The following is a 16515-nucleotide window of genomic DNA, read 5'->3' on the forward strand; positions in this document are numbered from 1 at the left end:
ATGCTGGGGAACAAAGGTAGGAATGTAGATAAAACTCTGTCTCCCAAAGAACAATTAATATAAGCAAATATGATAAAAGATAAGGATAAGCATAGTTTGAGTAGGCTTAACCCCAACCTATCTTGGGAGTGGGGGCCAGAAGGGGTCAAGAGTGGCAGTGAGGGGTGAGGTAGGATAGATTGTATCTCTGAAGGGTTAATAGAGGCAGTGCTGACTAAAGTAAGAATTGATGGATCTATAGAAATTAGAAAGGTGGATTGATTAGGAAAGGGCATCCAAAAGGAAAGCCTTTCAAACAGGGAGAAAACCATGTGCAAAGGTGAAATGTTTCAGAAAGAGCAAGGTGGATTTGAAAAGCCACAAGTAGCGCAGCATGCTTAGAGAGGCAGTGTGTGGAAAGAGAGATTGCTGGGCAGGAAGGGAAGTGGCCAGCTTGGAGGTGGTAGCTGAAGCTATTCACAACCATGTGATCTGGGAGACACTATAACATGGCATTTCATTAGGAATCCAGAGACCTGAAATCTTTAACTGGGTGAGCTTAACCAAATAATTTTAATTTCTGAGGCCTCTGCTTCCTTCTTTGTAAAAGGAGCATGTGATTTTTAGCGCTCCAGGAAGCCCTCCCCCCAATGGGTGCTGGTGGGGATGGGAACTTGGTGGCCAGAGCTCTTTGTCCCCTGCCTCTTTCACTTATACTATGTCAGTTTTGTTTTCGCCTGAATTATTTGTTTACAAATTAAAGTGAATTTATTTATTTAAGAGAGAGTCTCACTCTGTCACCCCAGCTGGAGTGCAGTGGCGTGATCTTGGCTTACTGCAGCCTCCACCTCCCAGGTTCAAGCGATTCTTGTAACTCGGCCTCCTGAGTAGCTGGGATTACAGGTGTATGCCACCAAGCTCAGCTATTTTTTTGTATTTTAGTAGAGATGGGGTTTCACCAGGTTGGTCAGGCTGGTCTCGAACTGCTGACCTCGTGATCCACCCGTCTCGGCCTCTCAAAGTGCTGGGATTACAGGCCTGAGCCACCATGCCCAGCCTATTAATTTATTATTTTTGGAAAACTGGCCTCCACAAAAAATATGTTGAAAGCCACAAGACTAAGTTATCTGAGGTCTTTCTGTACCCCACACCACTTAAGGAAAAATAGCAGTGTTTACTATTAGAAAGAGCAGTAGACCTGGAGTTCAAAGGTTGGATTTTTATGGTTGGCAGACCTCTGTGTGGCCATAGGGAGCCAATTTTTCTTAGCTGATTGTTTTAATTATAAAAGAGGAACAAATATTATCTGCCCTTCTTGTCTTGATTTTTTTCCAAAACTGAAATAAAATCAGATATGTTGAAGTGCTTAGTGAATAGTGAGGTATTTTTTAAATGACTGTTATTCTTAAGGAAAATATTACCTACGCTGAAAGCTGTCTCTAGGTGTGAGTATCTAATATATAAAAGATGCCCTTGGCATGATGAATCTGGTTATTTAATGGAGGTGTCACACTTTTTATGTTGCATTTTTCTTGGCTCAAGTTCCCATACCTAAAAGTGAGATAAAAATCTCTGTACTGGACAATTTTATCCATAGTTTTCTAGATTTATCAGAATGAATTTTATTAAAAGAAAAATAAATATTAATGGTCATTTTAAACTTCATTGGAAAGTGATGGTAACCTTATATCCCAGGATGCTTCCTTGAGTTATTCACTGTGCTTAAGAGCATGCATTAGGCTGGAATATTATGAATCTTCTTTTCATAGTAGTTTCATAACAAAGCTCAGGCGAAGTAGGTTTAGATGTTTGTTTTTTGTTGTTGTTGTTGGTGGTGATCTTTTAATGGAGCATTTCAAATCCAAGAGCCCTTTCTCCTATTAATAATACTGCCCATTCTCAAAAGCAAAACTTAGGTATGTGTTAGGTTAAAAGATCTTCCTTTATGCAATGTGAACAGGGTAAAAAATTAAGGTTGAAGGAAATAGATAACTCTGTCTTTCTACAAATATTACAGCCACTTCCACATTGCAGATGAGGAAAAAGAATAATTTTTCCCTCTAAGAAGTTATTACTCAGAGGGATAATATAGTTAAATATCACTCACGTTTTTCTGAATGCAAATCCTGTGCACATCTCCACATGCTATCAGGATCCAATTTAAGGAGGACTTTGTTACCATTCTACAGAGTCTAAAACATGTCTGGATCCCTGTTCTTAACCCAGGCTGCATGTAGTGATAATTTGAAAGTGTGACCTAGCCCCAGCTCCAGAGATTCTGATTTAATTGGTCTTGAAGGAGGGGACCAAATATTGGTATTTTTACTCCCCTCCCAAGGGATCCAAGGGATTCTAATGTGCAACCATAGGGAGAACCACTAATTCTGGTAAAAATTAAGCAGATAAATGATTTGTTCAGATTTGTAGTATAAAAAACATTATTTTGGTGTCAGTGTGAAAAATAGATTGGATGAAAGTTAGATGAGGAGGGCAGAGGCCAGTGAGGCTGGCACAGCCATGCAGCCATGAACCAATCTGAGTCCATGCCAAGAATTTCCAATATTGCTTGCAATTTCTGGATGAAGAATCTTGTTGTTACCAAATCCTCTGTGATCTATTTCCCTGACCTTAGTTGACCCTTCTGCTTTCATATTTACTGGTCATTCTCTCCTGGTGCTTCTAGTTACACCTTTCTCTGGTTGTCATAGTTATGATTTCGAGCCAGTGCCCTTTCCCAGATAAAGAGGGAAACCAAATATGTTGCTGTGAATGCAGAATTTTGAATAGGGCATCCTGGGTATTTTCTCTCATCTGATCAGTCCTTTCAGGAGGATTTTGCTTACACTTCCCAATTTGCAGTCTCACCAGAGCCCTCCTCTTGTCTTCCTTTGCCTTAATACATAGTTCAGCTTCACCCAGGGAGGAATCACTGTATCTCACTACAAGGAGACACCTTCATCCTCTGAGTAATAACTTCTCCTGCCCTGTGTGAGGCAGGAGAACTAAAGCTACCCCAAGTCCCGGTGTTATTTCTGCCTCACAAGAAGTGCTGGGAGCATCCCATCACTACAAGGTGATGCTCTCTTTTTTAGAAGAACCCCTCAACTGTCCATTCCATTTGTATTACTTCCGAACCCTGAAACTATTTCCTCAGTACCTGTTCTCTTCAGCTCTGAGTTACCACCCTTCACAATGAACAGGAAGTACAGGAGGCTTGGATTTAAACTTGGATGTAATCTCAGTTTAATCCGTTGCTAGCAGCAGCAAGTCACTTAGTGTTAGTGGGTTTCAGTTTTCTGACTTGTAAAAGTAGGAAAAATTATATGTACCCTCCAAACTGGAAAAAAACCTGTAAGCTTAAGAACTGAGTACAATATTGGTACAGAGGATGCATTCAACAAATGAGAGTTGATATTATTTTTGCTGTTATGATTATTAAGTGTGCATGCCTTCAAGTCAGCTGAGAGAGCAAATACATAGTTAAAAATGTTAGTCTTTGTAATGGCTAAATGGGGATACATGTATCTTCATATGTATATTATATATATTAATTATATACATTTAATTCAGTATATTTAATATATAATCATTTATAATATAATTATGTATATTGTATGTATGTTGAAACAAGGGAAATAGAGTAGGGGAGAGGAAAATGGATAATGAGTATAGGAAGAAGACAGGCTTTCCTGAGATCTTATTATTTTTATGCTATTATTATTATTATTTTTTCTGTTATATTTGTTTCCTGGTCTAGTTCTTAGTGAATATGGGAAGAGGAAGGATAGAGAAAAAAATTTTGATTGTGTCAGGATTAAGAGTCAAAAAAAGATGAAAAGGCCGGGCGCGGTGGCTCACGCCTGTAATCCCAGCACTTAAGGAGACTGAGGTGGTCGGATCACAAGGTCAGGAGATCAAGACCATCCTGGCTAACACGCTGAAACCCCGTCTCTACTAAAAATACAAAAAATTAGCCGGGCGTGGTAGCGGGCGCCTGTAGTCCCAGCTACTCAGGAAGCTGAGGCAGGAGAATGGCGTGAACCCAGGAGGCGGAGCTTGCAGTGAGCCGAGATGGCATCACTGCACTCCAGCCTGAGCAATAGAGCGAGACTCCACCTCAAAAAAAAAAAAAAAAAAAAAGAAAAAGAAAAAAGAAAAAACATTGCCATTATATCATGAAAGTTCATTTAAAATATATGCAGTCATAATTAGTTTTGATGCTAAATTGCAGTTTAATTACCGATTTGTTTTAAATTTAGATTAATTTTGAAGTTTTTATTAAATGTGCTCTTTTTATAAGGTAAAGTTCTTTTTAAGTCAATTGAATGCTGTCAATAGAAATACCTTTTGATAACTAAAGTATAGTTGATTAATTAAATAGAAATATTTGTGTAGCAGGGAGTAACCCAAATATAAGATCTTGACTTCTGTCTTTCAATTGAGGACACAGAGAGAAAATAGATGTTAAACTTTGACTAAATTGAATTAAAATTCAATTTAAAATTTTATATTTAAATAATTTAAATTAAACTCTTTATTAGTAAGTAATTTTTAAAGCATCATTGAAAATACTAATTCCAAAACAGTTGATGGTTTTAAATAATTTATTTAAAGTCTGTAATCTAAGGCAGGCACCTTACTAAAGTCTCATTCCTATTTCCCATGAAACTAACATACTTAATGGACAAGCCCAATTACAAAACAAATTCCTTTAGGAATTTTATGACTCAAAAAAGGAATAGAGAAGATAACATGAGAGAACATATATTGAATACTACAGTAGAATGATTGTTCAACTTTTAAGGGATTTATTCAACTACACCATCATTTAGCCCATATGTCACAGTTTTGTTCACAAGAAAACTAGGGGTGACTTTTGTAAAAGCCCTTGGATGCAGTTAAGATAAACTATGCAAATGACACATTTGATCTGCCACTCCAATAATTATTTAAAAAACACAGACAGGATCTCACTCTGTCACCTAGGCTAGAGTGCAGTGGCACAATCATGGCTCACTACAGCCTCCAACTCCTGGGCTTGAGTGATCCTCCCGCCTCAGTCTCTCAAGTTGCTAGAACCACAGTCTCATGCCACCATGCCGGGCTATTTTTTAAAAAATTTGCATAGAGACAGAGTCTCACTGTGTTGCCAAAGCTGGTCTCAAATTCCTGGCTTCAAAGGCCTTGGCCTCCCAAAGCCCTAGGATTGCAGGTGTGAGCCACTGCACCCAGCTCCAGTAATTCTAAAAATAAAAAATAAAAAATAAAAAAATAAAAAAAAATTATGGTGACTTTACACTTAGCAAACACATATGAGCATCAGTTTTAGAATTTCAGTTAATGTCAAGATTGGTAAACTTCAGTTTATGGAATCTTGTTTGAAAACCAGGACAGTTAATTTTCATGGCACTTTTTCATGGTGACTTAAAAATAATAGATATTAGTTCCAAGAACACTTCTTCACGTACTTTTGGTATTCTAAATTAGGTAACAAATTTGGACCTGAAATCTTAAAACAAATTTAAGTTACCTTCAGGCATTCTTATTTCTTCACCATCATATTCTTTTCCAGTTCAAACACCATTCTTCCCTATGAAGCAATTGGAGCTGAGATTTAATAGTTTTGCTTTTCTCTTGGTCATTTGTTCATATTATATAGTTGGCTCCAAGCAATCTTATTCTGATCCCATCCTTGGCTGTCATTTTCTTCTAAAAATACCACATAAATTTCTTTCTATTATTGCTGGCATTTTTACAAACGTCAGTCAACTCAGTATCAGTATCATTAGGTAATCATACTCTTCTTTCATGTTGTTTTTAAGTTTCGTTTCTTTTCAGATCTTTCTTTTTAAATATAATTCTCAAATACAAAGTTTTCAGAAACTTGCCTGTAAAACCATCCTGATAATTTGTAGAAGCCTTTGTGATCCTTTATCTAGATTGTGACAGAGCTTTAGAATGATATGGAATAATATATAAAATTTTCTTTTTAACTTGTTTCTTATAATCTAAAGCTGCACTATCCTTTATGGTAGTCACTAGCCTTATGTGGCCATTGAGCTATTGAAAAGGAATTATTCCAAGTTGAGATGTACTCTAAATATAATATACACATTGGATTTTGAATATATTTATATGGAAGCAATTAAATTTCTCAATAATAGTCTTTCATATTGATTATATGTTGAAGTGATAATATTTTGACATATTGGGCTACATATAATACAGTATTAAATTTAATTTAACTTGATTCTTCATTTTTTAATGTGGATGCTAGGAAATTTAAAATTTCCTGTGTGGTTCACATTATGTTTCTATGGGCAGCACTGATTATTTCCATAATATTTTTAATATCTTTAATATTTTTAAATAAGTGTATTAGTTTTCTATTGTAGCTATAACAAATTCCCACAAATTTAATGGCTAAAAACAACACAAATTTATTATCTTACAGTTTAGGATGTCAGAAACCTAAAATGATTGGCAAAGCCTGTGTTCTTTTTGGAAGTTCTAGAAAAAATTCCGTTTTCTTGCCTAGAGACCACCTGTTTTCCCTGGCTTGTAGCTCCTTCTTTCGTCTTCTAAGCTAAGAGTGTAGCATCTTCAAATCTACCTGACTCTCTCTTTCTCCCTCATCTCTGTTTCTGTTATCACATCTCTTACTCTTATTCTGACCCCTGAACCCTCTGCCTTCCTCTAATAAAAACCCTTGTGATTACTTGGTACCCATCTAGATAACCCAGAGTAATCTCTCCATCTCAAGATCCTCAATTTAATCACATTTGCAAAGTCTCTTTTGCCATATAAAGTGGCATATGCACAGATTCCAGGAATTAAGACATCTGTGGCGGGGGAGGGTGGTGGAGGGTATTATTCCAATTACCGTATTAAGTATATTTAATGCTATTCTTTCTTGATTTGTTAATTTCAATTTTTAAATTTTGCTTGTGGTCCAATATTTTAAGATCAACGAAACGGTAATACCAAAAAACAATCATAAGAAACATCGAGTCAGGTGTGGCATGGCACAACAGCTTCTCATCTGGGCGATGCTGCTGACCTCAACGTGATCTTAGTTAAGTCATTTATCTTCTTGTGCTTTTTTCTGTTTAGCAAAAGGAGTCTGTGAGTCTATGAAGGAACTTTAAAACTGCAGTTCTTTGGGCCACTGTTCAAATATACTGTAGTTGTTTTAATGATTAGTTTGAGTCCTTGTATGATGAATTTCAGCTATAAGATATATCTTCTAGCTTCACCAGACTTATGAATGATGAGGATGTGAATTGTGAGTTGGTTTAATGTATTACACATAAGCCAAGAATTATATTCTCATTCTATCAAATAATGAGTATACTTTCTGTTATCACATAAACCATCTATCCTCATAGTCTATTTTGTGATGTAACAAATCATGCTTTGAACTTTCTTCACATTGCCTTTTCTGCTTCATCTATGTAAACAACTATGTCTGAAATATTACCATGTCCTGCTTTCCTTCTCTCCCTTCCTCCTAGTACAATTTATAAATAAAGGGTCAAAATTTAATTGTTTTCTTTTGTAACAAATCCACCATTTGTTAGCTTGTTTATCACTAGGGAAGGTTTGGGAAACTTTTATAGAAGAGGACACAAGAAAAGGCTGAGAGTCATGAATTTTATGATGGTTGGAAGGTTGAACAATTTCTTATGCATTGAATGTAACATAGTTTTGTCATTCTGTTTAACTAAATCATTCTGCTTGTTTCTAGGTCATCAGAAATAATTTTATTCACATACAAGCAAAAACAAACTCTAAAACCAAACACACATGATCTTAGAAAAATATATCATCTTTGAAAAACTTGTGACATATTTTCTCAGTTTCTTGTAAGTAATCAAAGCTTAAAGGGACAGATTAATGTGTAGATAGATAGGTGATAGATGGATAGATAGACAGATATATAGACAGATAGATAGAGACAGAGAGACAAGAAGACAGAGAAATAACCATTCCTTTAGAAGATGTCATTTTAGGCCGGATGCGGTCGCTCACGCCTGTAATCCCAGCACTTTGGGAGGCTGAGGCAGGTGGATCACGAGGTCAGGAGATCAATACCATCCTGGCTAACATTGTGAAACCCTGCCTCTGCTAAAAATACAAAAAATTAGCTGGGCGTGGTGGCAGGCACCTGTAGTCCCAGCTACTCGGGAGGCTGAGGCAGGAGAATGGCATGAACCCGGGAGGCGGAGTTTGCAGTGAGCTGAGATCGCACCACTGCACTCCAGCCTGGGCGACAGGGCCAGACTCCGTCTCAAAAAAAAAAAAAAGAAGAAGAAGATGTAATTTTAAGGGTTCCTTTATTTAATATTTTGGAAATCATGGAACTAAATATTTTGGGACAGGTAGAAGATGCTCATTAAGTTGCTAATTGAACAATAATGAAAATTCAGGCTAGTGTTTACTTTTAATTATGTAATTAGCATAAAATCCTATCCAAAAAAAGAGTACCCAACTCTTGTCTGTGAAGTCAATGAGATGTCAATACCACTGGGATATAACTAAAAATTTCTCTTTCCATCTCGAACTATAGAACATTAATTTTCATGTGGTTTCCCATCCTATTAGGTCAAACTTTATAGTATATTCTGCTAATACTGGAAACATAGACTCAAATAAACTAATATTTTACAATAAGCATTAATAGATGATATTTAATAAGATGGTTTCCTGATTGTGTTTTTTCAGTACTTAAGAAACATCTAAGATAATTTTATACAATTTAACTCATTCTATACTACATTGCAATGTCAAAATCAATCATGGTACTATGGAATTAAAAGCCACCAAAATATCAAGAGAACCTGCTCTGAGGTTATTAGAGGGTCAGCGTAAATACTGCCTCACAAATGTACTTACATTCAAAAATGAAGAAAATATTCTGCAAAATAATGCATCATGCTATTATTAGCTAAAACATTTGAAATTGGAAATTTCTATATTTTTCAATTTTACCAATTAAATAAATGTATAAATTATAGATGTAAAAAAGACCTTTTTCTAAAAGAAAACAGAATCTTAATTATTAGCCTAATGGCACCATTATTTGAAAGTTTTTAACAAGTCAGAATTATTCAAGTCTGTTTTGAAAATCTGGATTTATTTCTGATTTAAACCCTTTTAAGAGTCCCTCTGTAAATATCTTTTAGCATCTCTAACCAACATTGATGAAAAAGCCCCATTTCAAAAGTGGCAGTCTCATGCTAAAATATCTAGTCTTGGGTAGTCGCAGTGGCTATGCCTGTAATCCCAGCACAGCCAAGGTGGGCAGATTGCTTGGGCTCGGAAGTTCAAGGCTAGCCTGGGCAACATAGTGAATCCTTGTCTCTAGAAAAAAATACAAAAATTAGCCTGATGTGATGGCATGGCGCCGGTATTCTCAGCTACTCAGGAGGCTGACATGGGAGGATCACCTGAGCCCGGGGAGTTTGAGGCCGCAGTGAGCCATGATCGTGCCTCTGCACTCCAGCCTGGGCAAGACAGTGAGACCAGGTCTCAAGATAAATAAACAAACAAACAAAATGTCTAGTCTTGATCATCACTTCCTTAGTTTCCATTACCAATCTCTATTCCATGAAATATAAAGATACATCTGGTATATTTAGCATCCAGGCAGGTGTGTTCTCCCAATACGTATCTGAAATATAGTCAGTACCAGTCAAGCATTTTAAGTAGTCTTTTCTAATTAAGCAGGATTGTGGGAGTAGATTCTTCCCCGTAGAAAGAACCTCTTTGTAAACAGTCACCTTTGCAGTAGTTAGAACTTACAATGTTGCACCACTTTTTATTTTTGTTTCTTTCATAATTCCCAATTGCCATTCATTTAGATTCAAGTCTTGAGCACTTAATATGAGGTTACATCAGGGGAGTTCTGAAGATGGTAGAGGATTTTTTTTTCTCCAGACTTGCTTTACAATTCTGTTTTATTTTATTTCTAGCTTCAGAATTTTTAAAATTATTTTTAAAAAATTGTTGTGGGTATATAGTAGGTATATATGTTTATGGGGTACATGAAATATTTCGGTTATTTCTTCTTTTTCAGACACTGAGCTGCTATCTTTCACAACATCCTAAAACGTTTATCACAAGCCAGAGCTGAATTGATTTGACCTGGTCATAAAAGATGTGCATTTATATGATTTTTCAAAAAAAACCCCACCTTTTCTCAAAATAACTCTTTTGTATTAAAAGCAACAATGAAATACTTACTCCTCTATTTGTTATGAAAACTATGCTGCTTCCTCACATGATCCATTTGGTATTAATCAATCCATCATTTTCTATTTGGTATAGAAACCAAAATAAGATATGTAATTCTAAGATGTTTTTTATCAGAGCTGAAATTTTAATAACACGGTTAAATTGGAATGCCCTATAGTGCTCAGGTTTACCAATCTTGGTCTTTTATTTCCATTATTATTATTCATACTAATTTTTACTTTCCTCCTGTATTGATTTCATTTTCTGAAGAAATTAGCAAGCCCATCTAATGAAGAGATTCTCTTCATTAGAGAATTTATTCTCTTCATATAGCAACTAGTTTTATTGTTTGATCTATTAAGTCAGTCATTTACTAATAATTTGTATCATGAAGGATACAAATATTAAGTATGTTTCTATCCTCTCTGTCAGTAAATCACCAGGGAGATAAATGAATTTGATTCACATTTTTATTCTCAAACACCTTTCCTCTATCCCTCCTTCTCCTTTCACTTCTCCTTTTACTCCTCTTTCTTCATTGACTACCTTACTCTGTGAACTCATTTTACACTTAAACATACTGAAAAATGAACCTTCAGTTCTATATTAATATCTAATACTTGTTCAGTATGGATGCTGAAATATTAATTGATAATAGTAATAGCCATTTGCACTCAACAAATAAATCATCAATAGGAAACTAAGGATTTGTGGTAGTTGGCTGTTTTAAAGTCAACTCTCCTATGATATACTTTGGATTATGCCCAGTATACAGGAGGTATTCAATAAGTGTTTGCTGAAAGAATGTCAGCCTCTCCAAATTTCAGAAATATAATGGTACATCTGCTTCTTCTCCCTTATCTTTCTATTATCAAAGGAAATTAAATTGGCATATCACTATTTCCTTATCACAAATCTGTTTTGGTTATTTCCAGGAAATCTATTCAGAATAGTTGAAAATTGATTGTTTGACAATTAACTCAAGCATTTTTCCTGAGTCCAGGGTGCATTGAATAGTATTAACTGCTCAATTGAGTTATAAAAAATGCCTTTTCTAATATTTGGTATCTCTTTTGCATGGATTATGAAATATAATGCCTAGTGATTGTGAAATGAGATTTCCAGTCCCCATATTTCATATCAACAAAGTCTTCTTATTTGAATTCACATACATATTTTAAATACTCTGGGTGAGTTTTCTTTCATGTTGTAATTTCAGCTTATGGCTACTCTGGCTTTGGTAGTTTTTAGTTAACTGGTCAGACTGAACATGATCAATCAGTTGATTGACTGTTTCACAATTTCAGAGGCCCTGTTACTATTTGTGAGATCAAAGGAAAATACAAGAAAGAGCTAGTTGAGGATTACATATATATTTTTTTCAATTTCAACCATATTTTCCCATTTAGGTGGTAATTTTTGCTTCCTAGCTAGAATTTCTAATATCAATTATAGAAGTAAATAAGCACCATTCCATTTACACTTCTTAGAAATATTTAGTAGTACAGTTTTTTAAAAAAATCTCCATATAAAAAGCACATTATGAAATATTGATATTTCATTTTTTCAGACTTAATTAGAAAATTTTATAATATGGTAAAGATTCACAGGAATAATGTAGTCTAAATCTTTAATTTTAATAAAATATTTAAAGCATATAAACAATTTATATAGTAATATTGTAAACACCCATGTACTCAAGATTCAGGCTGAGAAATAGAGCACAGTAGATACAGTTGAAGCTTCTGGTGATGCCTTTCCAATTTCATTTACTTGGCACCCTCCCCACAGTAACCTCTACCCTGAATATCATGTTTGTCATTATCATACATGTTGATATATTTTGCTGTATATAGGTATGTGATCAAATATAATAGATGTAATTATTTTACCTGTTTTTGAATTTTATATACAAATATCATCATCCTATAAGCATCTTTCCGCAACATCCTTTGTTGTTGTTGCTGCATATTATATTTTTTGAGATTCATTTATATCAACTCAAGGAGCTGAGGTAACATTCATTTTTCTTGTTACCGTTTCTACTATTGCAGTATATGAATATTCTATAAATATTTTGTCCAGCTATTTATCTGAAGGTGTTTAGATTATTTCTCTCTCCTACTGTTTTTTTCTCTTTCAAATAGTTGTGGAATGAATAGTTCTAGGAGTGGAAAAACTGGATTATAGGACATAAAAATGTTCAACTATTGCTAAACTGCTCTCTGAACTTGTACTATCATATACTCTCTGTAATTTCTTCACATTTTCATCAATATTAAGTTTTGCTGGACTTGTAAATTTCTGCCAATTTCATGACTGGGAAACAAAAATCTCATTATTTTGAATTGCATTTCTCTAATAACTAGGGGGATTGAGGACCTTTTTCAGATGCTTATTGGACATTGAGAATCTTTTTCTGTCAATCAACTATTCATTTCCTTAACCCATTCTTTCCTATTATATTTTTTATCTTTTATAAGCCCCTTTATGTACTTTGGATAGTAATCCTTCTTTGATTATATGCATTGCAAATATCTTTTATGAGTGTACATTTTGATTTATATAATTGCTTTATTTTAATATATCAAATTTAATATTATTTCTTTATGGACTTTGGCTTTTTTATGTTGTTTAGTAAACCTTTCTGTTCTCATCTACCCAAAATCATAAAGCTATTTCCCTCTAAATGTTGTAAAATTTTGCTCAGCATCTTTAGGTCTTTAACCCACCTTAACATACATACATGTGAAGTTGCAATCTTGTATTATCATTATTTCATATGGCTAATTCAGTGTCTGAATATGTCATCTTCCCTCAGTGCTTTCTGATGTCACCAGTTATTTATCAGGTTTCCACAAATCCATGAATATTTTTCTGGACTTTCTATTCTGTTCCATTGGACTAGTTTCTAGCCCTGAACCACATCTGCATTGCCTCAGTTACTGTTATTTTATGTTAAGCCTTAATAGTTCATATTGGAACTTCCTGAACCTTTTTCTTCAGATTATTCAGATTATATTGATAATTTCTTACCCTTTGCCCTTGCAAACACATTTTAGAATTAACTTTTAGGCTTCCACAAAAAAATTGTAGTAGATTTTATTAATAATTACATTACTTCTATAGATTAATTTACCATATTGATTCTCCCATCCAGGAACATGTATATTTATTGATTTATATGGGTTTACCCCTTAGTGTTAATAGATAAATTAGCCGTGGGCCAAAAAGTGATGGCCCAAAGTCACATAGCCAATTAATAGCAACACCAGTGGTAGAAGAAAGGTCTTTTGACTCCTTAACACCTTGTACACTAAAAAGGCTTAATTATTTAGTCAGTTAAAAAAGAGTGTCTTGGACTGCTTGCAGCTACAGAACCCCTCACAATGAAAGAGAATTCAACTTCTCTAGTTTACTAGGCCCAATTTGTGTTTCAAGCCCTCAAAGTGTGATTAGAGCGCTTGGGAAAACAAAGTCCTGAAATTCCTTGCATTGACTCTTTCTCTGGAGCCTGTCGGAAATGCTAGGGGTAATCTTGAGGTCATTGAATTTAAAAGCATTCAGGTAAGCAACATTGAGGCCTATGTAATGACTCTTAGGTCTTGTTCTGTGACCACAGGCTTACAGGAGCTATCACTTGCTTTGCTGAATGAACACTAAAAGTCCCAAATGAGTAAGAGATTATCTAAGAATACACACACACACAATCATATTCCTTTAAAGGAAATAAAATTTTAAATGTTTTTCTAAAAGCAGCATATCTCAGGAAGAGTGAGGCTTCTTTTAGGTCGATAGTTATTAAAGAAACAAATACAATTGCTTTGAAATCACCGAATTGCCTCAAATTGGCATTTTAGCTACTAACTGCCATTGGGGAAATTTTTGTAGACAAAAAAAAAAAAATAGAATCCAGAGGAGACAGAAACACAGAAGATTCAGTCTTTAAACGTAAAACAAAGAAACATCAGATGCTGTATTCAAGTAGTCATATACTATTCATGTTAATTGCAGTTCAGCCTTCTTTAACTACTGCAGTAGCCAGTTATCTAAAGGGGCAGAAAGAAAAAAAAAAAAAAAGGTGAGGAGAGGGGATGGGAAAAAAAAGTGAGATCCCTGCAATATCGCCTGGAGCCACTAGGGGTATCTTTGTACCATTTTTCATCCTGCACCGATTTGGAGTAGAAACCTATATTAGGGTAAAACCAGGGTCCTCGGCATTTTTTTTTTTTTTTTTTTTTTTTTTTTTTTTTGCGAGGAGTGCACCCAGAATCCAAAAAAGATTTTTTAAAAAAGAAAGAAAGAAAGAAACCAGAGTTTTTTTTCAGTCACCCGAACAGGGTTATGAAATTGTTCTTCTGGACATCAGCACCGGGAATTCATTTTTGAGGTCAATTTCCAATCGAGATAAATCTATTGGATTAGTAGGATTATCTGATTGCAGCCGAAAGAAGTAACGTTGTTTGATCATTTGTATTTCTTGCCTGATGGTCGGATTTACATGGAGGTGGCTTTGGGTCCCCAGGATTCTGGATCGTGGTTGCATCTGGAGAGAAAAAAGGATCAATCGACACGTTTTAGAAGTGTCCGTGGGTGAATAAAAAAGGAGGGGGGGGTGCAAAACTGGGGTTGCGGATGCTTAAAGCAAAAAAAGAGAAAAGGAAGCGTCTTGAATCCTGGAACAAGAATTACCGGGTGCTCGAGATTTCAAAAAAGCGTCTAGAAACTGGTAAATACTTGGACCATTTCAGCTTGAATTTGACGGCGAAGTGTTGTAGAGACCGTCTCCTTGAATCATTGCAAAGGGACCGGGGAAAGATGAGGGGGCTCCCTCTGTGGATTTATCTTGCTGAGGGTAAGTTTGTGGCTCTTTTATTGGGAGGGGGCTGCCAGGGTTTTGTGCCACTGCGCGGAAGGTGATGCGGACGCGGTGCCTGTGAAATGGAGAGAGAAAGGGGAATATAAAACCACCTCGCGCATCCCCGGGGGGATCGCTAGGGAGCTACCTAGATCGAGCTAAAAAACCTTGTTTTTGTGGCGTCGGTGGGGGAGCCAAGCAGCTCTCCAAGCTCTCAACTTTGCATTGAAAATCTCTCAGTTGGGAGACGCTTCCCAGATCCAGTGCTTTCTCCTAGCAATACTTTAAGGAGAGGAGGCAGCGGTGCCTTGGAAAACCTGCATGTAGAGCGGAAAAGCCCAAGTAGAAATCGCTGGTGCTTCGGCCGCCGTTTCTGCGGCTGTCGTGGCTTCTAGGGGGATATTTTGCAGGGGGAATTGGCTGTTTTCATGTTGTCTCCTCCCCCACCCCTCTCTTCCTACCCCTTCCCGCTTCCCGCTTCTCTCAACCGGACACTAAAGGGTTACAGGGTCACTGCACCGGATAGAGACAGTAGAAGTGGGTGGCTGGCCACACATGTTGTCTTGTAATTCACTTGCACGACTTTCCATAATACAAGTCCGAGGTAACTTTCTTCGAGTTGGAGCAGCCCAGGAAGACGTTGCAGGCTTTTTGCCGAGGGCCCAGGCTAGCGAGTGCGCCAGGCAGACGGCTGCATTTCTGATGCATCCCTGCCCTGCCTGCCTCGCCACTTACTGGCTTTTCTTTCCAACTGAGCGGTGCGCGCGCGTTCCCAGACATTTTCTTGCAGCTGAATTCAGGAATTTTTTTCTTTTTTTAAGAATTTTGTAGCTCCCAAGAAAAACTCATCTTTATTTGCAGAAGGAAATCAATTTCAGCAGCTATAATTAATCACTCAAATCAGTGAATATGAATTGACTCAGGCAACTAAAAGTTGCTTTGGAACCCAGAAAAGCATATTATTCTGAAGTAATTTTGGAGTCCACGTAGCTTCAGAACAATTGCATACAAAGAACTGATTTATTTGAGGGATGTATATAAATGTGTTCAGTAGGTTAACGAATCTGAGACTTCAACATCACAATTTTAGTTGGCTTTTTTTTTTAAAGCCAATTCGTTAAATTTTAAACTTGTAGACATTCAAATGCTTTGGAATAAAATGGAGATAGATAAAAGATAAAACATACATTTTGTATGTTCTAATCTTTAGAATAAAAGTGTTACCTTTTTTCAGGGATTTCTGGTTTACAGATTATGACTGTATGCAGATACCTTTGTGGTTTTACCACTGAAGTCTGTGTGTGTGAACTCATCAAAAGGCAACTCTTCAATGTCATCTGAAGCACACTCATTCTCTAGTACTTTTTTTCAGGAATTCCAGATACATGCGACGTTCTGACTATTAAAAGATTAGTCTAACCAAACTTTCTTCCTGGATTTGT

At 36.0% G+C, this 16515-nt stretch overlaps 1 protein-coding gene across 32 annotated transcripts in view; it reads left to right on the forward strand.

The window, feature by feature from the left end:
* NLGN1 (neuroligin 1) overlaps positions 1–16515 on the forward strand; it is an 898421-nt gene that overhangs the window by 174013 nt on the left and 707893 nt on the right. For 5 of the 32 annotated variants that reach the window (NM_001365928.2, NM_001365927.2, XM_047447705.1 and 2 more), the window contains exon 1: positions 14470–15070. The exons of the other annotated variants lie outside the window; for them this stretch is intronic. The gene's annotated coding sequence lies outside the window, so the exon portion shown is untranslated. Of the gene's footprint in view, positions 1–14469; positions 15071–16515 lie in introns of those variants that run through there. 32 annotated transcript variants of the gene reach the window in all.

Source organism: Homo sapiens, chromosome 3 (assembly GCF_000001405.40).
Source record: "Homo sapiens chromosome 3, GRCh38.p14 Primary Assembly".
In the NCBI taxonomy this organism is placed as follows: Eukaryota; Metazoa; Chordata; class Mammalia; order Primates; family Hominidae; genus Homo; species Homo sapiens.